General features: G+C 34.5%; 1 long non-coding RNA gene across 1 annotated transcript in view; it reads left to right on the top strand.

Annotated features, from left to right (window-relative positions):
* The window catches only part of LINC02006 (long intergenic non-protein coding RNA 2006), a 378,977-nt gene that overhangs the window by 293,317 nt on the left and 59,931 nt on the right, over positions 1-25,729 (top strand). The window lies entirely within an intron of this gene.

The raw sequence follows: 25,729 nt of genomic DNA, 5'->3' as shown, positions 1-25,729 counted from the left end.
AATAGATTTAAGATCAAAGAGTATCGATCCTTTTGGGGATGATTTTATTCTTTGGAAAGAGCCAGAAGCTAATATAGTAAATAAACAAATTGGTTAAAACAACATTTTCTTTAAAAATAAAATAAGAGATATGACTCAAATAATCAAACCAGTTGACTAGTGTCACTATTTGAGTTGGCAATCTCAAAATACTCTGGCCAATGGAAAGAGTACTCAAGAGAGCCTCCCAAAAAGATCACTTTAAAAACTAACATTCATTTTGATACTTAAGGCTCAGTTAATTTTTAAAATCACGATAAATTGTAGTTACTTTTCTACATACATGAAAACTAATAATATTATTTCTTCATGCAGACTTACCAAGTCAATATTCTCCTATGAACTTAAAACAAGACTTTTTTTTTTTTTTTTTTTTTGAGACAGAGTTTCACTTTTGTTGCCCAGGCTGGAGTGCATTGGCACTATCTCGGCTCACTGCAACCTCTGCCTCCCAGGTTCAAGCGATTCTCCTGCCTCAGCTTCCCAAGTAGCTGGGATTACAGGCATGCGCCACCAAGCCCGGTGAATTTTATATTTTTAGTAGAGACGGGGTTTCTCCATGTTGGTCAGGCTGGTCTCGAACTCTCAACCTTAGGTGATCAGCCCGCCTCAGCCTCCCAAAGTGCTGGGATTACAGGCGTGAGCCACCGCAGCCGGCCAAAACAACCATTTTAAGGCTTACGCATTTGGATTGGGTCCCAAGAAAATCAAGTGCCTAAAAGCCATGTAGACCTTAGGATGATTATAATTCCAACCTTAACCACCTTGTATTTTGTGACGTTGAATAAGAACCTTCAGTTCTCTGATTCTATTTTTTTCTCCTGTGCAAAAAAAAAAAAAAAAAATTCCAAAATATTACTCAAAATATCATTTGTAGAATGAAAAGAAATAAAGTACATATAGCAACAAGTATCAAGACCAGCTCAGAAAACTTACAAGCCATTAATGCGTACCAAGTAGAGGACTTTACTTGTATTATCACATTCAGTCCTTCTAACAAGCCATGAGGTAGGTAGCAGTATTTTTATCTTGCAGAAAAGTCAAGTGAAGCTTAAGGAGGTTAAGAAAAACAAGGGTTTGTTCACTTCTCCTTTTCCAAAATTGTTGTAACATTCATTAGATTTTAATAACTTGAGTAGTACTATAAGAATAGCCTAGCAGTACACCAATGTTTTGCTCCAACAAAAATTAAAGAAAGTTGTTTATGAGCTTAATGGAAATCCAATCCACAAAATATTCTACCTTGTTTTAATTTAGGTCAGTGTACCTTTTATGTTTATAATGTTTGTTACTTTGGTTTTTCAATTTATGCCTTTCACTTACCTTGGTAGGTTACTTTGCATATTGTACTTATCTCTCTACCTTTGCAAATTTGAAAATTACTCTACTCATGGCATCTTATGGAATGGAAACAATTGAAAAACTCACCAAATTATTTCAGAAATAGGTGTGATAGTGTTTTGTCAATCCTGGAAAAGATTCAGATGTCAAGGAAAACATAACATGAAGAAAATAATGGAATGATTGAAAATTTCTTTGTGTAAAGAAAGAAACAAAAGATTTGTTTAGATTCAATTCTTATTGTTAATTTAAAAAGGAATATTCTTCTCTCTCTGCCTATTGTTTGTGATACCAGTAGGTGTGATATGAAGTGAGAACGAATTTTCTAATTTTTAGCTTCTAGAATAATGTTCCATGTTTGTGCCTAAAGGTACCTTTGAAATGATCTGGTCCAAATTCCTCATTTTACAAATGAGGACACTGGGTCTCAGAGAATTGAAGTATTATTCCCCAAACCACCCAATCAGCAAGTGATAGAACAGAGATAAAGCTGGGGCTCTGGCCAGTCAGCCCCTCTTGTCTGCTTTCCTACATTATGCAATTTTCCCTGCAACAGTTCTCAATACAACTGACACCTACAATTCTTGGGCTTGAGGCAAGCTTGTAATTGGCCACACAACAGAAGAAAAAGTGTAATGAGCAATGTCAAACCTCAGAATACCAAATAAGGCTATTCTTCAACTTAGGCAGAAGAAAAAAGACAGAAAAATTTGGGCTAAGGACTTCTAAATACCATGAAAAGCACCTCTTGACTCTAATAAGCACACATAAGATATTCAAAGCTTGAATGTCACACAAAACTCAGGGCTTGGTATTTCAGAATTTCTCTGGAAATGAAAGGCCTCTAGATCCTGGCCATGAAAAAGAGTGAGATAACTCAGAACAAAAGGTTAGCTTTCTGCTATCTCAAGAGTGTCCAAATGAAATCAAATGCTTTATTTCACCCCTTCAATCTGTGACTCTGAGAAAAGGGACCATAGGCTTTCTTATTTTCTAACACTCAAAGCCTATCATAATCTTTTCTTCCCCCAGCATCTAATAATTAATTATGGAGTAAAGAAATGTTCAATCAGTTACCTCTGACAGATAGATAGACTGTGACGAAGTGGTCCCAATAAATGGTAATATCACAGCTGCTTACTAGGAGGCTGGTTTATACTTTCAGCCATCATGTCATTTGTCCTTTCAGCCTTTTCCACAGGAAAAGTTATACCCATAGCATTGGGTATGGTTATAATTCAGCACTGGGCTGCTTCTAGGCTGTTCTCATTTTGCTGCCAATCAATTGGTCTCTGTGAGGAGTCAAAGAACTTCTACGTTGCAGCCAATTTCATCAGTCTGTAATTATTCTATTTCAAGAAACTCCGGCCAGGCACGGTGGCTCACACCTGTAATCCCAGCACTTGAGAGGCTGAGGTGGGTGGATTACGAGGTCAAGAGATCGAGACCATCCTGGCCAACATGGTGAAACCCCGTCTTTACTAAAAATACAAAAATTAGCTGTGCGTGGTGGCAGTGCGCCTGTAGTCCCAGCTACTCGGAAGGCTGAGGCAGGAGAATCGCTTGAACCCGGGAGGTGGAGGTTGCGGTGAGCCGAGATTGCACCACTGCACTCCAGCCTGGCGACAGAGTGAGACTCTGTCAAAAAAAAAAAAAAAATCCAACATATCCAATTCCAAACTTTAAAATAACGGATAAATTGTGGGGGGGGGGTGTGAAAAATAACTATTTTCCAACTATATTTTCCAGATGACTCAATTAAAAATAAATTTGTTTAATGTGATGGTGTGTGAATAAGAATACCTTGGCCAGGCACGGTGGCTCATGCCTGTAATCCCAGCACTTTGGGAGGCTGAGGTGGGTGGATCATTTGAGGTCAGGAGTTAGAGACCAGCCTGGCCAACATGGTGAAATCCCACCTCTACTAAAAATACAAAAATTAGCCAGGCGTGATGGTGCATGCCTGTAGTCATTATCTGAGACTGTTGCTGATACTGTCCTGATATTGCTGATACTGCTCATAGTTTCTGATTTTGTTCTGAAAACTGCTCTTTACAGTTGTCTTAAGCATTTAAGATAATTTAGAGACCTTTTATAACTCTAGATTATAATGAAATTTGCCATAACTAATAGCTTGTATTTCGTGAATACAAAATATCACCCTGAAGGAAAATGCTAACAGGTGAAAAAATACATTAGAGTTTTGAATTCTTCAGAGAAAGACAGACATAGGAATTAATTTCAAGCTTTGCTGTTATTAAGCAGCATTTATAGCATACACAAAAATTCCATGAAAAATAGGGCAGGGTAGTTGACATGAATCCTGAGCAAAATTCTACAGTAGATGTTCTGAGCACTTTTTTAATCATTCTGTAAAGAAAATGTACTTGGTAGGAGGCAGCAATGAACTCACAGACATGACTGGCATCTTTTGTTTTTGTTTTGTTTCTAAGATTACAAAAGTTGTAATAAGAGAACGATAATTGTAGCATATCTTGGTTTCAACTTGAAAACATTTATCACTCATTTATCTGAACATGACAGGGGATTGTGGCTGGTAATAGGAGAATTAGTTGGATTCATAACTGATTGAACAACGAAAGTTTTAAAATGTTAACTAATTAGTAATCTCAGTTTGGAAGAAAGTCTTTAGATATGGTCTGCCAGACTCTGGCTTTGGCTTATTCCAGAATGATGTAATTATCTAATTGGAAAATCACAGAAGATCCAATTCAACTTAAGATAGAATTTCTAAATGATTTGATGTGTCTGAATAGGGCAACCTAAGATGGTCAAGCAAAGATCAAACTCAAAATGGTAGAGAAGATGGCACTGAAGGTATATGAGGTTATAGGTACCTCTGGAAGTGGTAGAGAATAGAAGATGCTGATTGGATAAATGTCTGGGGCTCTCAGTCCACTTCTACTTCTTTGGATTTTGTTCCCTGTTAGATGTTTTTTTCCTAAGCTAAAATGTCCAGGAAAATAAGGAAAAAAAAGAGAAAAGTACTGGATCAGATGATAATTTAAGTCTCTTCCAGATTTAGGATTCTACATCATTGCAACAACTGAGATTTGTTTGAAATGTGTTAAAGATATCTGCAAAAGATACCTCCTCTTAAGAGAGTTTCAGGAAATCACATTCCTCAGTTTGTGTGTGTATCTGTGCACCCAACTCGCAAATACACACATGCCTATGCATTTTAAGACTCCTCATCACTCAGTGCTAGGCTAGTGATTTCTTTTGCTGAATTGTCTCATATATCCAACACTCATAATTTTGATCCTCCTGCCAGTTTAAAAAATTGTAAATTTTCTCTTGTAGTTCAAAGATTTAAATTCACTTTACACACAATTAAACTAAATATGTCAAGTGCCCAATTATCCTTTCAGAGCAGTTGAGGGCTTCAGAGTTACAATCATCAGTTTAGTTCCAGGTCTCCAGGAGGAACTCAGGTGAGCCCAAAGCTCAGAATGATTTTTTTTGATCCAGTGTGTGGGTATGCATTTCTGCCTTTCAAAACTAAATACCATGTATAATTATATATTATATTAGTCCATTTTCTGTTGCTTATCACAGAATGTCTGAAACTGGGTAATTTAAAAGGAATTTTTTTTTTTGCAGCTATGGAGGCTGACAAGTGTAAGTCGAGGGACTGCATCTGATAAGAGCCTTCTTGCTGGTGGGGACTCTACAGAGTCCCAAGATAGTACAGGGCATCATATGACAAGGGGACTGAGTGTGTTGCATGCTTGCTCAAGTTTCTCTTCCTCTTCTTATAAAGCCACTAGTTCCACTCCCATGATAACCCATTGATCCATTACTTCATGAATGGATTAATTCATTCATAAAGGCAGAACCTTCGTGATTCAATCTTCTCTTAACGGATCCACTTTTCTTGACATATATAATTATATCTAATCATCACAATATGTTAACATGTCTATTTCAGTGCCTTAAATATTGTAGGCACCTAAAAAATATAGTTGGATCTAATATATATAAATATAATGTATATATTATATATAAATTATATATATTTTATATCTATTATATGTATATGATGTATTATATATATTATATATAATTTATATATATTATATATATAAATTTATTTTACTTTAAGTTCTAGGATACATGTGCTGAATGTGCAGGTTTATTACATAGGTATACATGTGCCATGGTGGTTTGCTGCACCTGTCAACCAGTCATCTAGGTTTTAAGCCCCACATGCATTAGGTATTTGTCCTAATGCTCTCCCTCCCCTTACCCCCGACACCCCAACAGGCCCCGGTGTCTGCTGTGCCCCTCCCTGTATCCATGTACTCTCATTGTTCAACTCTCACTTATGAGTGAGAACATGTGGTGTTTGGTTTTCTCTTCCTGTGTTAGTTTGCTGAGGATGATGGTTTCCAGCTTCATCCATGTCCCTGCAAAGGACATGAACTCATTCTTTTTTAGGGCTGTATAGTATTCCATGGTGTATAAGTAAAGGTCCCACTTTTTAATACTGCGACATTGGGAATTAACTTTCCAACACATGAAACTTGGGGGATACATTCAAACCAGAATATATATTGTGTCTATCTTTCAATAACAAATCAATCATTATACAGTAAGATTATTATTAAAAGTATAACCACAAAAATGAAGAGTATCTAAATGCAGCACCTAAATGCACATTCAACAAATACTTTTTGGCACCTCCCTGTGTCAGATATTGTTCTAGGCACAAGGGTTGCAACAGCAAACCATGACCTTAGAGACATTATACTCCAGTGGAGAAATTTAGACAATATACAAACGAATATGTATCAGGTAGTAATAACTGCTATTCAAAGAGATAAAGCAGGATTATGAGTACAAAGTAAGTGGGCTGCTATTTTGTACAAATGTGGGAAAATATAAGCTCCCTGTTCAAGAGCAAAGACTGCCTCAATCAAGATGCTTGCATAGAAAAAAAATAAGTGGCCCATTTTTATAATGCTCACTCTTTCTAAGGTTTTGTGCAGAGCAATTTCACCTGCCTGCTTTAGCTCCTCTCTTGCTTTGCTATGTATCTTTTATTTTGTGGTTTGTCTGGTTTCCTTTCGACTTCCTTAAGGTGTTAAGAGTTCTTCAGGATTGTGTTACTTGCAACTTTTTCTCCCATTGGCTGATTTTCTGCTGAAAATAAAGAGCTCTAAAACAGTTTCACTTCTATGCTTTTTAGCCCACAAACATGTTTTTTCTTCAAAATTTTTTTCAGTTTATATACACTTTTTCCATTTAAGAACATTTACTCCCATAGCTTTATTTTTTATAAACACATTAACTGTGTCATTCACATGAGAACTTATTTATCTTTTGTCAGCACAATAACATGGTAGTTAACAGATAAAGACTCATCTGTTCCCTAAATAAAGGGCTAGAAGTCAAATTTTGGGTCTTTTTATGTGTATCACCTAAATTATTATTATTATTATTTATTAATTTATTTATTTATTTTGACACGGAGTCTCGCTCTGTTCCCCAGGCTGGAGTGCAGTGGCGCAATCTCGGCTCACTGCAAGCTCCGCCTCCTGGGTTCACGCCATTCTCCTGTCTCAGCCTTGCGAGTAGCTGGGACTACAGGCGCCCACCACCATGCCCCGCTAATTTTTTTGTATTTTTAGTAGAGACGGGGTTTCACCGTCTTAGCCAGGATGGTCTGGATCTCCTGATGGTCTGGATCTCCCGACCTCGTGATCCGCCCGCCTCGGCCTCCCAAAGTGCTGGGATTACAGGCGTGAGCCACCGCATCCGGCCAACTAAATTATTTTTAAATAATAAATCTAAGAAATGCTCTATTTGCCGTGGACAAAGAAACACGTTTTGAATTTTCTGTTAATCTCTTCAAACTAATATTACCTTGTATGATTAAGAAATTAAGAAAGAATGATGATGTCGTTGGGAAATAATTGTATAAGTATAAAAACATACTGTACAAACAATAGCATTGCTTAAACTACAAAATAGATTCTTGGCAAGATTTGTATTAGATGTGGGATAGACACCAAAGTTCATATAAAACTTTTCTAATTTTTTTCATAAATGAGCCTATAATCTCTATCTGTGTGTGTGTGTGTGTGTGTGTGTGTGTCCTTCTCTCTCATTCTCTCACTTGCTTGTTAAATGCTTTTGATTATAGTGTCTCTATCCTGCAAACATAAGTTATTTTTATTTTTAAGCATCTGGAAAAGATAAAAGGACAAAGTAAAGAAATGGGAGTCTTTTCTTGTCAGTTATAGGGCCTTTGATACTATTTTAAAGCATGATCTAGAAATGTTTTACACAGATTGGAGTTAAAGATCTTCATTTTGTCATGACTTTTAAGAGTCTGATAAAATGTTTTTGTTGTTGTTAGCTTATTACTGTTACCTAAACATTTCACAAGTTCAGATTCATTGTTCTGCATCACCACAAACATGTTTTTGCAAAGTTAACGTACCAAACTATGTCTATTATATCTATTATAAACTGTAAATATGTTCTGATTTACAGTGTTAACTGTGCATTCTCAAGTATCCCTGTAGTATCTCTAGTCTTGAACAAGTAGACTTTGACTTTTATTACAACTGAATTTGGGTGCAGGAAGGAGGCTGGCATACAAAAACAATAATTAGGTTAAGTCACTTGAGAAGGCAATATATTGAGATGAAAAGAGCTCTGAAAAATAAATAAAATAAAAATAAGGCCTTCAGGTTAGGCCTGGCAGTGTCATTAAGGTAGCTCAGTGTCATTTCAGGCAACTCACTAAAGGCCTCTAGAGCACTGTCCCTTATGGGTGTCTATCCAGAATGACAGCTACAGTTGCCTCAGAGACCAACTAAATGTGGCAGTGGCCAGGGTCAGACAAAAGTGGTGGGGATTCTGGTGAGCTGAAGACTACATATCCTTCCCAAAAGCATTAAATTCAAGATGCTGAAACATGGTAACAACTGTAGTATCCCTTTTAGCTCTAACATTCTGTGCTTTTGAGTTTTCAAATAAAATGAACATGTATTTATTAGGCAGCTGCGATGTAAAACCCTGTTATGACTTCAGAGGGACAACAGAAACGTATGAGCAATGTCTTCTGCCTTTGAAGCATACAGTCCAGCTAAAGAAATGAAACTGGGCAACAAGATAAAGAGGCCAGTTCTTCAAGCAACACAGGGAAAGCACACTAATTATTTAAGAAAAATGGATTTGTCCCTCTAAAAAGCAGTGGGCTGTGTCAGCAAGTGCTATAGTCATTTTCGGAATGGCTACTAGCCTCTAGCATGAGGGAATGAGGAAAGGCCTCACTGAAATAGTAGAGCTTAAGCCCACACTTCAGGTGTAGAGTCTAGATTGGAATAGTATGGGGTTATAAGCAGAATGTTTAACTTCTGGGAGACCCTTTATAAGCACTATTAAGAAGTCTGGCTTTAGTTTGTTTGTTTCTTAGTTTTTGTTAATGGAGAATGCTTATTGAGAAAATCAGTAGTAAAATTTTAGTAAAAAAACAGTCTTTAGATTATTCTGATGTCAGTCTGGCTGAGGTATATACATTTCAATGTTGGCGTTGGAAACTTTTCCACAGATTTACTTAGTGAATAAATGCATTTATTTGATCACAACAGAATGCATTTATCAGCACAGTATTTGCATTTTTATTCCACTGAGCATCTGTTTTCTCTACACTGGCATCTCTAGTTATAATTTTTTTCAGTGAAACATATTTCACGAATGTTTTCAAGTGCTAGGAATGCAGAATGATGAAGCAAAATGGAGCCTAATAATGACTCGTAGTGGTATTATGATTTTAAATTTATAACTTTCACATGCATGTTAAGCATTTATTCCTTTAAAAATTCCATAGTATAGGCTTTATTATTCATTTTACAATAAAGAATAAAATGTTTAAAAAGAGAAGCTATTTCCCTGTCTATTAAGTATGATTAACACAATCATAGCACACAGTACAGCTGCTAAGGAAACCATTACAATTAGACCTAGAAGATGGCATAGTCCTACCTCTTGTGTCATTCATTCATGCAATAGCTATTATTGAGCACCTACAATGTGCCGGGCACAGTTCTAAGTTACAAGCACACAGTAGTAAACAAGAAAAAGTGATTGCCTACTAGATTTTACAAAGATTTGCCCATAGTTTATAGATGTAGGATCCATATCTTTCTTTTTTATTTTTTAAATAATATATACTTTTAATTTTTTTTCCAAAACACACTAATTGTATATATTTATGGAGTACAATGTGATGTTTGGACACATGTATACATTATGTAATCAAGGTAATTAGCATACCCGTCACCTCAAACATTTATCATTTCTTTGTAATGGGAACATACAAAATGCTCTCTCCTAGCTATTTCAAGATATATAATACCTTATTGTTGCCTATAGTCACTCTACTGTGCAATAGGACACCAGAACCTATCTTTCCTTTCTATGTGTAACTTTATACCTGTTGAACATCCTCTCTCCTTCTTCCCCCTACCATCCCCAGTCTCCGGTAACTACTGTGCTATTTACTACTTCTATGAGATCAACATTTTAGGTTCTACACGAGTGAAAATGTGGTATTTTTCTTTCAGTCTCTGGCTTATTTCACTTAACATAATGTCCTCCAGGCTCATCATGTTGCTGTGAGTGACGGGATTTCATTATTTTTATGTCTGAATGGTAGTCCATTGTGGGTATATATACCCCATTTTCTTTATTCATTCATCAGTTGATGGACATTTAGGTTTATTCCATATCTTGGCTATTGTGAATAGTGCTGCAATAAACAAAGGAGTACAGAAATCTCTTTCACATACTGATTTCATTTCCTTTGGATATATACCCAGTAGTGTGATTGCCGGATCATGTGGCAATTCTATTTTTAATTTTTTTGAGGAAACTCCATGCTGTTTTTCATGGTGGCTGTTCTAATTTACATTTCCACAGTGTGCAAGCATTCTCTTTATTCCACATTCTGACCAACACTTATTATCTTTTGCCTTTTTGATGATAGTCATTCTAACTGGAGTGAGGTGATATCTCAATATAGTTTTGATTTGCATTTCCCCAATTATTAGTGATGTTGCACATTTTTTTCATATACCTATTTGTCATTTGGGTATCTTCTTTTGAGAAATGTCTATTAAGGTCTTTTGCCCATTTTTCAGTTAGATTACTTGTTTTTTGGTTTTGGGTTTTGTATTTTTTTGCTATTGACTTGAGTTCCTTATAAATTGTAAATATTAACCTCTTGTCATATGTAGAGTTTGCAAATATTTTCTCCCATTTGTAGATTTTCTCTTCACTCTGTTGATTGTTTCATTTGCTGTGCAGAAACATTATAGTTTGATGTAATTCCATTTTTCTATTTTTGTTTTTCTTGCCTGTACTATTGAGTTCTCATCAAAAATATCTTTGCCCACTTCAATGTCATGAAGCATTTTTATTATGTTTTCCTCTAGTATTTTCATAGTTTTGGATCTTACATTTAAATATTTCATTTTGACTTAATGAAAGATTGGGTGTCCAGTTTTAGTCTTCTGATTGTGGATATTCAATTTTTTTGGCACCATTTATTGAAGAGATTGTCTTTTCCCCAATTGTGTTCTTGGCACTTTTGTCAAAAATCAATTGGCTGTGCATAGGTGGGTTTATTTCTGGGTTCTCTAGCCTCTTCCATTGGTCTATGTATGTTTTTATGCTAATATTATGCTGTTTATATTACCAGAGCTTTTTAGTAAATTTCGAAGTCATGTAGTGTGATGTCTCCAACTTTGTTTTTGTTTTGGTGTTTTCTTGAGATTGTTTTGGCTATTAGGGCTTTTTTCTTGAGATTGTTTTGTGGTTCCACATGAATTTTAGTACTGTATTTTCTATTTGTGTGAATAATATGATTGATATTTTGATAGGGATTGCATTAAATTTGTAGATTGCTTTGGGTGGTATAAATATTTTAACAATATGAATTATTCTATGAGTATGAGATATCTTTCCATTTTTGTGTTCTTTTCAATTTCTTTTATCAATGTTTTATGGTTTTCAATGTAAAGATCTTTCCCTTTCTTGTTTAATTTTTAGGAATCTTTTTGTAGCTATTGTAAATGGCATTGTTTTCTTTTTTCAGATAGTTCTCTATTCACATATAGAAATGTTACTGATTTTTGTATTTGGTTTTGTATCCTGCAACTTTACTACATTTATTTGTTAGTTGTAATGGCTTTTTGGTGGCATCTTTAGGGTTTTCCGTACATGAGATTATGTCATCTGCAAACAGGGACAACTTGACTTCCTTCTTTCCAATTTGGATGCCTTATATTTATTTCTCTGCTTAATTCCTCTGGAGGAAAACAAGCCAAAATGTTTAAGACAGGAATAAATCCTCAGGGTAATTTCAACTGCTGAGAATGTGTCATATTTCACTTCCGTGGTTGTGTGACCAAGGGACTACATATTCAGATGTGTTCTGCTCTATGTGTAGCTCCCATTGTCTTACACTTCTCTTTAATTTGGAAGGACAGTAAGGTTTGCTGCAATAATAAAGGGTTCTGTGAATGAAGCAACATAAAAATGGCAGAAATAAAGGAACCTTTCATATATATCTGTGTATGAATGAAGCAAAATAAAAATGTGAGAAATGGAGGGACTACATATCTTATAATGACTCTGAATACATCCTTGTAACCATTTCACTGTGATAATCTTATGGGAGGTAAACTTCATCGTTTAAAAATAAATGACAAAATCATCTTGAATATAACTAAGGCTCACTTAGGGGTTCATTCTGCTGAATAAGCATATAGAAAAAAGAAACACTTTATTACTTCAATTACTCCATCAAGATCACACCTGGTGCTAGATACATGGTTCAAAAATATCAGTGCATTTGTGTAGTAGTTGGTTTATTAATCATGGATGTCAAGTCCTTTCTGCTAATTAACCTTAATTGAGCTGTCTGTTATAGAAGCACCATTTCCAATGAAGCAACTTAGCAATGATATCAAAATAACAGAGCATAGTAGAACCCAGGATTAATGTTATTTCCTGTTCTTGAATACCAATGCCTAATGCAGTTTGCTGTAATACAAAATCTTATAACTTCTACCAAAATTTAAATATCACATAGAGCAAAAATTGGTAGAATATTTATGTAATTTGCACAATAAAGTGATTTAGGAAAGCATTTTTGACATGTGTCTTCATTTTATATTTATTTAAAAACAACTAGAATATACCATAAATATTAAAAATATAAACTTTTAAAGATTCAAAGATTAAAATCATATATTATCTATTAGTCAACATGACTCTGATCTTAGTCATGCTTGAAACTAAATCTTTATTTCATTTATGTTCAGTATTATTTCCAATAGTACCACAAAATGTCCATTAGGATAGAATTCTGCTGAAATAGGTAGCTTTATTCATCTGCCTGGAGTAATTCAGTGCAATTAATTCCAACTTTGATAACCAGCAAGCACTTCAAATGTTCAATAGGTTATTTATTAAAAAGCAAATCAAGAAGAAATAAATAAGCTTTACTGCTGATGAACAGAATGCTTAGATTTTAAAATGGCCAGAAGGCTACTGGTATTAATAAGCTTTGTCAAATTCATTTTCAGACACGGATGGAGGAGTTTGTACTATTTTTCTGTTCATGTCATAGTTTCTGTCAAGAGGAGAGCCCATATACCTTAGGGAAAGCTTTCTGATGTGCAAAGATTTGAAAATAAAAAGGCAAAGACAGACATTTAGCAGATTCACAAGGGAAAACAAACTCCTGAAGAATCTTCAGAAAAATTAAAGCAGTAACAATGAAAGTGTTGAAAAGATTTAACCACTGATATAAATTTGGGGAAAATACAGAAATACAAATATTGATAATAAAAGTCACAGAAACTCAGGTTAAAACCAACATGGATAAGGATTTAGTTTAAGTGAGGCAAGCTGGGCCATGCCTAGATGTGTCTTATAGACCATTCATTTGTGTTATATTTACAGAGCTAAAATGCAAACACAAGACAAGTGGCACCATTTTGTTAGATAATGCCTACTGTCAATGCATTTGATCATATGGGGCTTAATGGGGCATGATAGAAAGAACACTTCTCTAGGCATCTAAAACCTGGTCTGAAATGATAGTTCTGAAATTTAACAGCTGCATAACTATGGACAAATTACTGAAGAGCTCTCACCAATAGACATTTCTGAGATGATAGCTATGCTTTACATCTGCGCTGTCCAATAAGATAGCCCCAGCTTTATGTGGCTATTGAGCACCCAGCATCCGGCTAGTGCAACTGAGAAACTGAATTTTTAACTTTGGTTATTCTAATTAATTTTAATCTAAATGGCAATAAGTAGCTAATGGCTATAGTATTGGACAATGCTGTGCCACCTCAAGTGATTTCCACTTACATGAATTATGATGCTTTTAGTTGCAAGGCAGAAAAAAAATCTAACTTAAAGCTTAAACAACAAAGGGAATGTATTGGCTCATTTTAATTAAAAAGAAGTCCAGAAGTAGAAAGTTTCAGGCATAGTTCAATCAAGTGCATTCTCTCTCTTTCTCTTTTTCCAGTACCCTTGCCTCTCCTTTATTTTTGTGTCTGCTTTCTTTCCTCATGCCGGTTTCCCTGATGGTCACAATCTGACTACTGGAAGTAGTAACAGGGGTCACTTGCTCCTCATTCTTATCTAGTAGGAGGCTAAGAGAGGGGGAGCATTGCTTTTCACAAATACTTAAAACAAGCCCAGAGCTTTGCTCTGACAAGATCAATCTGAAACACCCAAAGCTGTGTACTGCTTGACTTGTACCGGGTTTCCTGCCTTTCGCCAAACTAATTACTTTGGAAAATGGATGGAGATTTTTGATGAATGTTGGAACTGAAGGTTGGATTAGGGAAGGGATGTTCACTTAAAGAAAAAAATCTAGAAGCTGTTAGGAAGTAGAATAATAGGGAGTGAATGCTGAATAAGCATTTGATAATTTTCATTCACATCATCTCAAAGGATTATTAGAATATAATCAATGATGTGATGTGCATAAAGCATCTAAAAGCGCCTGAAATGTTTGATCCCTTCTCATGTACATACCCCACAGTTTCTATGTACTCTGGGAAACTAACTTAAGGAAACTAACTTAACTCTTTGATCCCTCAGTCTTCTCACATGGAAATACTTTACTGTTAAGATTCCTTCCAGCAGTAAAAATCTGTCAATGATAACTATTACTGACATTATGTAAACTGAAGGCACAGAAATAAATATGTCAAAGGAGAGTCAACTATGTTTGAAAGCCTCAGATGGCTACACGTAACAAAATGCCATAGTTTCTCTGTAACTGCTCTGTGGAAGAGGCATTGAAACACAAGTGTTTCAATGAATAGAGAGGAGAAGATGCACTGCTGCAATTTCTCAGCTCCAGATTTCTGGACCCACCTGTCCTCAAGCAGATCTCTTCCACCCTTAAACAGATGAACAGATGGTAAAAACCAACCACGTCTACCCTTGTAGCTCAATGGCAGGATAGAGTCAACTGAGGCCCATCATTAGTAATTTAAATTTAATTGTGCTAGGTTGGAATTCAAGCATCTCTATTTTTAAAGTGATTTTAATGTGTAGCTATGGTTGAAAAGACACTACTCTAATAATTTTCAGGTAAACAGGAAGTGGAATCAGAAAAATATACATTATTTAGTGTCAAATAGAAGGCCATAATAAAATGATGCAAAGATAAGAGAAAAATAAGCAATGTTACAACAATACAAAAATTATTTGACAAAAGATAGATGAAGAACACAGAAAAACATACTTCATCTGAGGACAACACATTTAGATAACTACTTCTTACCCCCAAGAAGATTTTAAAATACCATTAATTCTATGAGAGATAAAGATTGTATGACATTTCTTCAGCAGAACTAAAGTAAGAAATTACGAAAGAGAATAAAGCCACAACGGACAGTAAAACCAAATTAGAAGTAAAAGCCAGCATATCTGACAATTACAAAATCAAGTCAGTAAGATAAACTAAGTGTTTAAAAATCGCAAAGAAGATAGAGGAAAAGCACTGCAATGAAAATCATTAGAAACAAAAAGAGATTGGGAAAACAAACAATAAAAATCTATAGAGGGAACAGAACATACAGAAGAAATCAATTATATTAGCTATAATAAAAGATGATTTTCATGAAGTGAAAGAAAGCATAAATCTTCCGGTTAAATAGGCCCGCCATGTACCAGGAAAAAAATTATTTTAAAAACTATGAATAATGAATCATATCCTTGCACATTTATTGTATTTCAAGAATAACCAAAAACCTCTTAAAGTCCATAAGTGTCTAATTTCTATTATATTTTCATTCGCTTAGACTGATATCTTCTAACATATCTGATAAAAATAATTTTGTAAACAAAAAAATAGATTTTTTCTTAACGAAAAAACTTAGGCTGAAAAAATTAAATCACTAAGGATGTATTTTTATTTTTTGTGTAAAAGGGGATAAGTAATCTAGAAACTTTATTCTCACAGTTTTATTAAGAAATACATTTTCAAACTGGCAAGGACTCCATATTAGTCATGGATCTCCAGAGAAATAGAACCAATAGGATATTTGTGTCCAGATAGAGATAGGTAGAGATAGACATCGAGATAGAGATTTACTATAAAAAATTGACTCATGCAATTCTGGAGGTCAAGAAGACCCATGATCTGCCTTCTGTATTCTGGAGACCCAGGAAAGACTGTGGTGCAGTTCAGTCTGAGTTCAAGGGCCTGAGAACCAGGGCAGCTGTTGGTGTAACTTCCATTCAGAGGCCAAAGACCTGAGAACTGGGGTTGGGGCCACGGGTGTAAGTCCCAAATCCAAAGGCCTGAGAACCAGGAGCTTTGATGTCCAAGGGCAGGAGAGGATGAATGTTCCAGCTAAAGTAGAAAGACAATTCACTCTCGCTCCACCTTTAGGTTCTATTCAGGGCCTCTGCAGTTTGGACAATGCCCACTCACATTGGTGAGGGTGGATCTTCACTCAGTTTACTGATTCAAATGTTCATCTCTTATGGAAACACCATCACAGACACACCCAGAAACAGTATTTTACCGGCTATCCAGACATCTCTTAACCCAGTCAAACTGACACACACATAAAATTAGCTATCACAGCCTCACATATAGTGATCACCTGTGCACATGTTTATAAAGATTAAAGATGTAATCTGAGAGAACACAGAAAAATATAAAATTATGATTTAAATGATTTCTACAATCAGAGACAGAAGAAAAAGATAATTATAAGATATGATTTTGCACAGTTTTATTATGCTAGCAAGTATTTAACATTTTAAAACAATTAGCTATTTTATCAATTTATTTTCTTTTATCCAATTTACAGTCATTGATTCTATTCTGCTGTCTTTAGGCTTACCTTGTGTTTCTTTTCAAACTTCTTGAACATTTCATGTTATTTTTATCATTTCCTGTTTCTTCTATGTAACCTTTAACCTCATCTCACAGGTTTTGATATGGAATATTTTTACCATTGTTATTTACTAGACACATTCCAACAGCAGATTAAATATCTCTGAATCAGTAATTCACTATGAGAAAGTTTTTTAAATTTCAAATGGTTGTTTTCTCCCCTCTTTTCTTTATTTCCACATATACTGGTTTGTGGTCTGAAAAGTTGACCTCTGTTTGTGTATTGAATGTAGCTTAAACAATAATAAATTATTACCTCACCTAAGAAGTTCAGGAGTAGAGATTTTCAGAGTTTATTGTGAAAGTTGATGACACCATCCAGGACACGGTCTCTCCTTATGCTCTATCCACCTCCTGTATTGGTAGTGTCTGCCCCCATGGACCCAAGACAATTGGATTGCAGCAATTCCCAATGTCATTTTATGTCACAAAAACGTCCAAAAGCAAGAAGGGAAAAAGAAGTGTTCTCACAAGTCTCATGTCAGGGATAAAAATATGTTCTAGAAGGCCCAAAAGTGTTTTCCCTTTGATCTCACACACCCAACAGTTACTAACAAGTAAAAATCAGATTGTTATCATCAACTTAGACCCATCATAGTTCATACACTGCTGTTAGCAATGATGCCCACATTGGCATTATGTTAATCAGAAAGAAGAGTGAATTATTACTGGGTGGATGTACAACCAACAATATCTGCTTTACAAATAATAAATATGATTTATCTACATAGATACATATAATCTCATTATATGTTATATAATTACATATAATATACACTAATATATTACATATTATATATTTTATATGTATATAATTATATTTTATATATATATAATGTAATATATATATATTACATATATATAATCTCACTGATATTTTTGGATCACCTCTAAATTAATTTTGATGTTTTTATATACTTTAATCTGTGAAGAACTCAGAAAAAGGTGTTAAAGTCTCCCATTACTATTATACATTTGGATTGCCAATGTATTTTACTTTATATATTTCATTTCTATATTTGTTTTTTGCAAAAGGTTGATGATAGAGTTTTATACATTGTGTAACATGTAGTGCTTATTGCAAGAAAAAGATCTTTGAATGTTACTTAATACTTTTCACCTTGAATTCAATTTTATTTTTGTCAGATATAGCTTTGTGATTTCTTTAACCTTTCTGCATCACTAAATGTGTGTATTGGTTTTTGTTTGTTTGTTTTGATGTGCTTTATTTTCCTTTCTTATTAGGTAGGTGTCCCATTCACACTTACTAAGATGAGGAAAGTATTTGGTGTTATTTCTATGTTACTGTTTTTTGCTTTTTCTTCTTATGGCACTATTTCTTTATACTCTTTATACTTTATACTTCTTATGTTTCTTTATACTCTATTTTTGTTACATTATCTGTGTTTGCTAAGGTATACCTCACCCCTAGTAATTTGGAGTACAGGAATTCTATTATTTTATGTTTTACATTAGTTGCTTTTGTACGTCATAACAGCTTCTGAAGCAACTAATCTATTGATTCTCCCCTATAAAAATTCAAAATGGAAGTCATACATTAGTAAATGATTTTTAAAAACTGGTACACAAGTGGAAAAATAGGGATTCCTGTGTATTTTTTACAGAAAAGTAAATGTTCAAAGGCTTTTTGGAAGGCAATTTAGTAGTTTATCAAATGCTCATATCCCATTCTTAACAATTCCACTTCTAAGAAAGAATCTAAAAGAAATGCAGAAAAAAAAGATACTCACACAACGTGATTTCATTATGATTCCAATGGTGATTCCATTATGAAGAGCCTTGTGTGTTATGGCAAAATGTGTGTGTGTGTGTGTGTGTGTGTGTGTGTGTATGCATATCACTTGGGGGTCAACAAATATATGTGCATGTGTATCTTCATAAATATACGTGTATGTGTATCTTGATAAAGAAATGAGGAAAAATGCCATATACTGACATAGATCTAAGAGAAATACAAAATTTAAAAAGCCCAAAGCAATAATTATTGTGTGGCTCCATTTATGTTAAAATGTACATATGCATATACGTTTAAGTAAATGAATAGAAAATGTTCTAGAAACATACACTGAAGAGTATTAGCCATTATTACTTCTGGGAAGAAAAGTAGAATAGGGAAGTAAGAAGAGGAGATTATCGTATGTCATTCTATATATCGTTTTAAATGTTTACAATAAGAATGTAGTCATATAATTATGTTTAAAAAGTGATTTTTTAAAAAAAACCCATTTAGAAGAATAAACGTAAAACAGCTAGAAAAATTCTGGAAATAAAAGATTTTCCCTAGTAGATATTAAAATAATATGCTTGACAAAAAGATCGAGAAATGGACTAACAGTTCATAAAAAGACTCAAGGGCCAGGCATGGTGGCTCAGGCCTGTAATTCCAGCACTTTGGGAGGACGAGGCGGGCAGGTCACCTGAGGTCAGGAGGTCGAGATCAGCCTGGCCAACATGGCAAAACCCCATCCTTACGAAAAATACAAAAAAATTAGCTGGGTGTGGTGGCCCGCGCCTGTAATTCTAGCTACTTGGGAGGCTGAGGCAGGAGAATCGCTTGAACCTGGGAGGTGGACGTTGCAGTGAGCCAAGATCCACGCCACCGTACTCCAGCCTGGGTGACAAGAGTGAAACTCCATCTCAAAAAAATAGTAATAAAATAAAAATAAAAAGACTCAAGTGTACATGTCAATTTAGTAAATGAAAAAGGTGTAATATAAATTTTGTTCTTTAATAGAAATATTGAAAAATGTAAAACCATTTAAAAAAAGATCAATACTTCTCACTGGACACCAAATTATAGATTTATTAAATATTTAATTTTAGTAACAAAGCCATAAAATCAATAGAAGAGAATACAGAAAATCACTTTAATTATTTTGGGTTTGGAATGCTCTTTCTCAACATGAAAATTAAGCCAGAAACTAGAACAACATAAAAAATTACTGCATAAAAATGGAAACATTCTATATAGAAAATAAACATACCATACATAATTTTTAAAGCAGAAAATAAGTTTTCTAAAAAGTATTTAGAAGATGAATAGTAAAGAATTAATATTCAGGTATATAAAGCGTTCTTACCAATGAATAAGTAAAAAATAAACGTGACCAAAGAACACAGGTATACATATGTAACTAACCTGCACATTGTGCACATGTACCCTAAAACTTAAAGTATAATAATAAAAAATAAAAAAAAGAAAGCTAACAAAAAAAAAAAAAAACAAAGAATAAGGGGTAAATGGCAGGTATTCACATCAAGCTATCTTCAACTGTCTTGTCTTTGTAATTACAAATTCCAAGATTTTGCAATCTGCAGCCATTGATCCCAAAGATCTGATGACACACAAGCCACCAACAATGTTGTCTAAAATTCAACCTACAGTAGATTTTCATACTTTTTGCAAGAGGAAATTAAACTGTAGAAGCCTTTTGCTTAACACACATTTGTTTTTCCCTGCACAAAGCCTACTTTGACAACAGAATTCTTTCCAAGAGAAGATAAAAGAAAAACCCTCTGGCATCAATTTAAACAAACATTGCCAATTGGTATTTTCATATTTCCTCTGGTCACTCTAGATAGTTTATATTAGAAAGTCGAAGGCAAGCATCTTTTCTTCAATGATGCCTGCCTGCACTTGGCAAGCCCAGATGCTGCTCTGGGATTCTGAGAATCAACACCATTTCATTTTACTCATTCCCATTTGGATAGATATTTCACAGAATGCGCAAGTCTACATCCATTCAAAATATTCATTTCTTTGTTGTTTTGGCAAAACAGCTTATGAAGCTTGCTTTTGATAACTGTTGAATTTGGTCAAATGTTTTCAGCAAGTTAAGATATTAGTGAAAGCATAGAACTCAAATTCCTGTTTTGAAATGTTTTCTGGGGAAGTATTATCACTCAAGCATTCGCCATAGCAAAAAATACATTAATCAGTATAAGTACTGGCAGAAAGGAATTACGATTCAAGGAAACCTTTTCTGAGTTCTTACTGTGTGCCAAGCCTTATTCCAAGCAGTGAGGAAACAGTATGTAACAAAATAACTCCCAGCAGTTGTTGAGCTTCATTGTAGTGGACAGAAACAGATTGTATAGAAATAAGCATATGAGCAAGGAGGATATCAGACGGTGAGTTCTAGGGAACTGTACTGATGCACAGGAGAAAAAAGTCATCTCTTTGCCAGTAGCATCATTTCTTTCATTCTTTACAATTTTTTTTTTTTTTTTTTTGGAGACAGAGTCTCGCTCTGTCACCCAGGCTGGAGTGCAGTGGGGCGATCTCGGCTCACTGCAAGCTCCCCCTCCCAGGTTCATGCCATTCTCGTGCCTCAGCCTCCCGAGTAGCTGGGACCACAGGCGCCCGCTACCACGCCCAGCTAATTTTTTGTATATTTTTTAGTAGAGATGAGGTTTCACCATGTTAGTAAGGATGGTCTGGATCTCCTGACCTCGTGATCCGCCCGCCTTGGCCTCCCAAAGTGCTGGGATTACAGGCATGAGCCACCGCACCCGGCCTTTACAATAAAATTTATATACGTATATGTACGTGTGTGTGTGTGTGCGTGTGTGTGTGCGTGTGTGTGTGTATATTATATATATATATATATATTTTGTAAATATTTATAGAGGGTGCTAGGTAAGCCCTTTATATGTATTCTCTCATTTGATCTTCATGGTAATTCTATATTGATAGGTATAGCTCTGGGTGTAGATAGATTTTTTGAATAAATACATTTTAATAATTTGTTTTATCACCCATTCTATATTATATTCTTACTGAGAAAAGAAGCTATGTCTTGTTATGTGTGCTTTCTCTATCCTGTTTCACTTCTTTTTTTTCCCCCATCATATGCTGCTGCTTTTTTTTTTTTTAATTATACTTTAAGTTCTAGGGTACATGTGCAGAACGTGCAGGTTTGTTACATATGTATACATGTGCCATGTTGGTGTGCTGCACCCATTAACTCATTTACATTAGGTATATCTCCTAATGCTTTCCCTCCTTCCTCCCCCCCACCCCACAACAGGCCCCAGTGTGTGATGTTCCCCTTCCTGTGTCCAAGTGTTCTCATTGTTCAGTTCCCACCTGTAAGTGAAAACATGTGGTGTTTGGTTTTTTGTTCTTGTGATAGTTTGCTGAGAATGATGGTTTCCAGCTTCATCCATGTCCCTACAAAGGACATGAACTCATCCTTTTTTATGGCTGCATAGTATTCCATGGTGTATATGTGCCACATTTTCTTAATCCAGTCTATCATTGATGGACATTTGAGTTGGTTCCAAGTCTTTGCTATTGTGAATAGTAAAAAGAAATGAACAAAGCCTCCAAGACTTATCCTGTTTCCCTTCTAAAAAAATCTTTAATTCCCACGTCCTTATCTACATTTAACAGCCCTCTCCACACTCCTTCTGATTTCTAGCTATTAGTAGTATTACATTTGGGAAGATAGACACCCAGTTAACTTTCTATGCATTTACATAATATAGGTAAACATTAACATTAAATTTATTTTTAAATCAGAGTGTAATAATTCATAACATGATTTTTACTTTTTAAATAGAACTTGAAGTATGTGTATAGGACTATCTTATTCTAAGAGTTGCATTGTCTTTATTGAATGAGTGAAAGATACTTTATTGAATCCCCTCTGTGGGGATGGACACTTAGGTCATTTATAATTCTTTCTCTGTTGTAAATAATATTGAAAAAAACCTTTATATACACATATTTGTACATGTGAGAATGTTTGTTTATATTAAATACATTCCTAAAAGTAGAATTGTTATAAATAATGAAAGGCCATTTATATTTTACAGATACTTCCAGGTTGCCTTTCAAAATAATACAGCAAGTTATAGTCCTGCTAACATTTCTTCATATCTTTGGCAACACTCGATAACATAAATCTTTTTTACTGTCATCTTGAAAGCTTTTAAATTGCATTTCTTTTATTTTTAGTGTAAGTATGTATGGTCATATAATCTTTTCTTCTGTAAATTGTGTGTTCATATCTTTTACGTATTTTTCTATTGGGATTTTTTTAATGACTTGTTAGAGTTTGTCATACATTCTGGATGTGGATTCTATATATTGTAAATAACTTTTTCTCAACTTATCTTTTTAATAGTAGCAAACATATATATATATATATATATGTATATATATATATATAGATATATATAATATTTACTATGAGTCAGGTACTTTCCAAGGTACTTTACATATTAACTCATGTACGGCTTACACTGGTCCTGTGAGAAAGGTACTATTACCATCTCTAGTTTATAGGTAAAAATCTGAGGTGTGTACAGGTAAAAGTCCAAGACGTGGAGCAATCACAAACTTACCCAAAGCCATATAACCAAGTTGAGGAACCAGAATCTAAACAATGGGCACTCTGGCTGCAAAGTCTATACTTTTGAACACTAAGTTTAAAACTGAAGATAAAAATAAATCAATTATTTTTCCTTTATAGCTTCTGGGCTTCATATCTCTTACAGGAAGGCTTTTACCACATAAAAGTTATAAACATTTTTTTCACAAATGCTTTTTATAATTTTGATTATAATTAACTATTATTAAAATAATCTAGAATCCATTGTAGTGCATGATGTAAGGTCTGAAGATTACATTATTTTTTCCAAGTAGATAGCTAATTGTTCAAAATAACTTGAACAATTTGTAGGCTATCTTTTTTTCTACCAATTTAAAATTGCCTTTATTATAAATCAAAAGTTTATCTACATATGGGTCTACTTCTTTTTTAAAAGAATAGTTATACATTTTATTTATTTATTTTTTCAATATGTTTTTAGGGAATACGTGGTGTTTGGTTACATGAATAAGTTTTTTAGTGGTGATTTCTGAGATTTGGGTGCACCCATCACAGTATACTCTCTATTCTATATCTTTGTTTTATTTGCCTATTTCTACACTACAACTATACTATTTTTACTACTGTAGTTGATAGCATGCTAGATATCTCCTAAGGGAAGATAACTTTACTATAATTGTTCTTTAAAACTTCTTGGGCTATCCTTATGCCTATTTTCTTCCTCACACATTTTCTTTTTTCTTTCAGTGTAATCTATGAAATTCCATTATGAAACATCATCCTATTCTTTTTTGTTTGTTTGTTTTTGTTTTTGAGATGGAATCTCACTCTGCAGCCCAAGCTGGAGTGCAGTGGCATGATCTCGGCTCACTACAACCTCAACTCAAGCAATTCTCGTGCCTCAGCCTCCCTAGTAGCTGGGACTACAGGCATGCACCACCACACCCAGCTAATTTTTTGTGTTTTAGTAGAGACGGGGTTTCACCATGTTGCCCGGGATGGTCTTGCACTCCTGAACTCAGGAGATCCACCCGCCTCGGCCTCCCAAAGTGCTGGGATTACAGGTGTGAGCCACCACACCTGGCCCCATATATGAGACTTTATTAGATAGACTGATTGATTGAAAGATAGATAAATATTAAAGTATTTACTTTTATCAAATGCCTCAAATTTAGTTACCTTATATTTTTCTTTACTCTGTTAATATATTAAAATAGCATATTTTCTAATATTGATTTGCATCTTAGAATAAACAATTCTTTACTATGATGCAGTTATTATTCTAATACCCAGCTCATTTTTTGTTTAGAATTTTTTGAATTTATGTTAAATGAGCCTGTAACATTGGTTCACATCTTCATATACTATGTTAAAGTATTATTGGACCTCAGTTACACAGAAGAGAGTTTAGATACTCCTCAGTTCATGGGAAGGCATTATCAAAGGTCTTTGTGTATCCCATATTCATTTCTCAATTTTAGTCTTACATATTTTTTTCCTGTTCTTCTCTTTCATAATCAGGAAATATATTTGTATTTGTATATCTGTGATTACTTATAAAATAAATAATAAACTGATTGATTGTTTTTTAAATTAAATGTCAGTTTTCTCTGTTTTATCTAGAAATGATTATTTATGTAACTTTTTTTACACAATTTATTGTGTTTTGAAGATCTATCTGTCTAATCTAGTTCATTTCATCTAGTGTTTGATTACAGTATTACTGTTACCAAGCAAATGATGCTTGCTGCCCAAATGCACTAAAAGCCAATATTATCACACCAGGTTCTTGAGCAAAGAGAAGCTTTTTATTGCAAGTCGACCAAGAATTCTGACAGGAGACTAGCTCGAATTTGTCTCCCCCTGCTGATTTTAAGGCAGTAATTGTATTAGAAAAGATTTAGAGGGTGGAGTCCGAGAATTAGTAGGTAATTTGTGGAAGGAAAGAGGAGGCCTGGAGGTTCCTTCTGGGTGCAGTTACTTTTTCCTGCTTCTTCATGGGTCTCATGTGCAAATTCAGGGTGAGTTCATATAAAACATGTGATGTCTGCAAGCTCATTCTGCATAAACTCCAGTTGGCCATATTGGTTCTAACTGAGTGTAGCCAGTTTTGTTATCTTACAAGCAGATAGTGTCTCAACGTTTCAACAAGTTGTTTGCTTTCTGATCTACTATCCTGCAAACTCAAGGATTTCTATTAGTTACTATTTTCTTTAACTCTTTGGGGCACGGTTTTATTATGTTATTTGAATTTTTCATATTTTACTTATTTTATTCTGATAGTGATGAAAATCTATTTGTCTCCATCTATTTGTACCATAAATAGTGCTTCAGGGAACATGCTTAGGCACCTGTTCAAGTGTTCCTGGGATATGTACCTAAGAGTTGATTTCCTAGGTGTATTACTTATATACTGCTTTGTAACAAATTATCCAAAACTTCGTAGCCTAAATCTTCAAACATTTTTTTAATCTCAGGGCTTCTGTGGGCCTGGAATCTGGTAGCA

The sequence above is a fragment of the Homo sapiens genome, chromosome 3, assembly GCF_000001405.40.
Source record: "Homo sapiens chromosome 3, GRCh38.p14 Primary Assembly".
NCBI lineage: Eukaryota > Metazoa > Chordata > Mammalia > Primates > Hominidae > Homo > Homo sapiens.
This window is presented reverse-complemented; position numbering and strand designations above follow the sequence as displayed.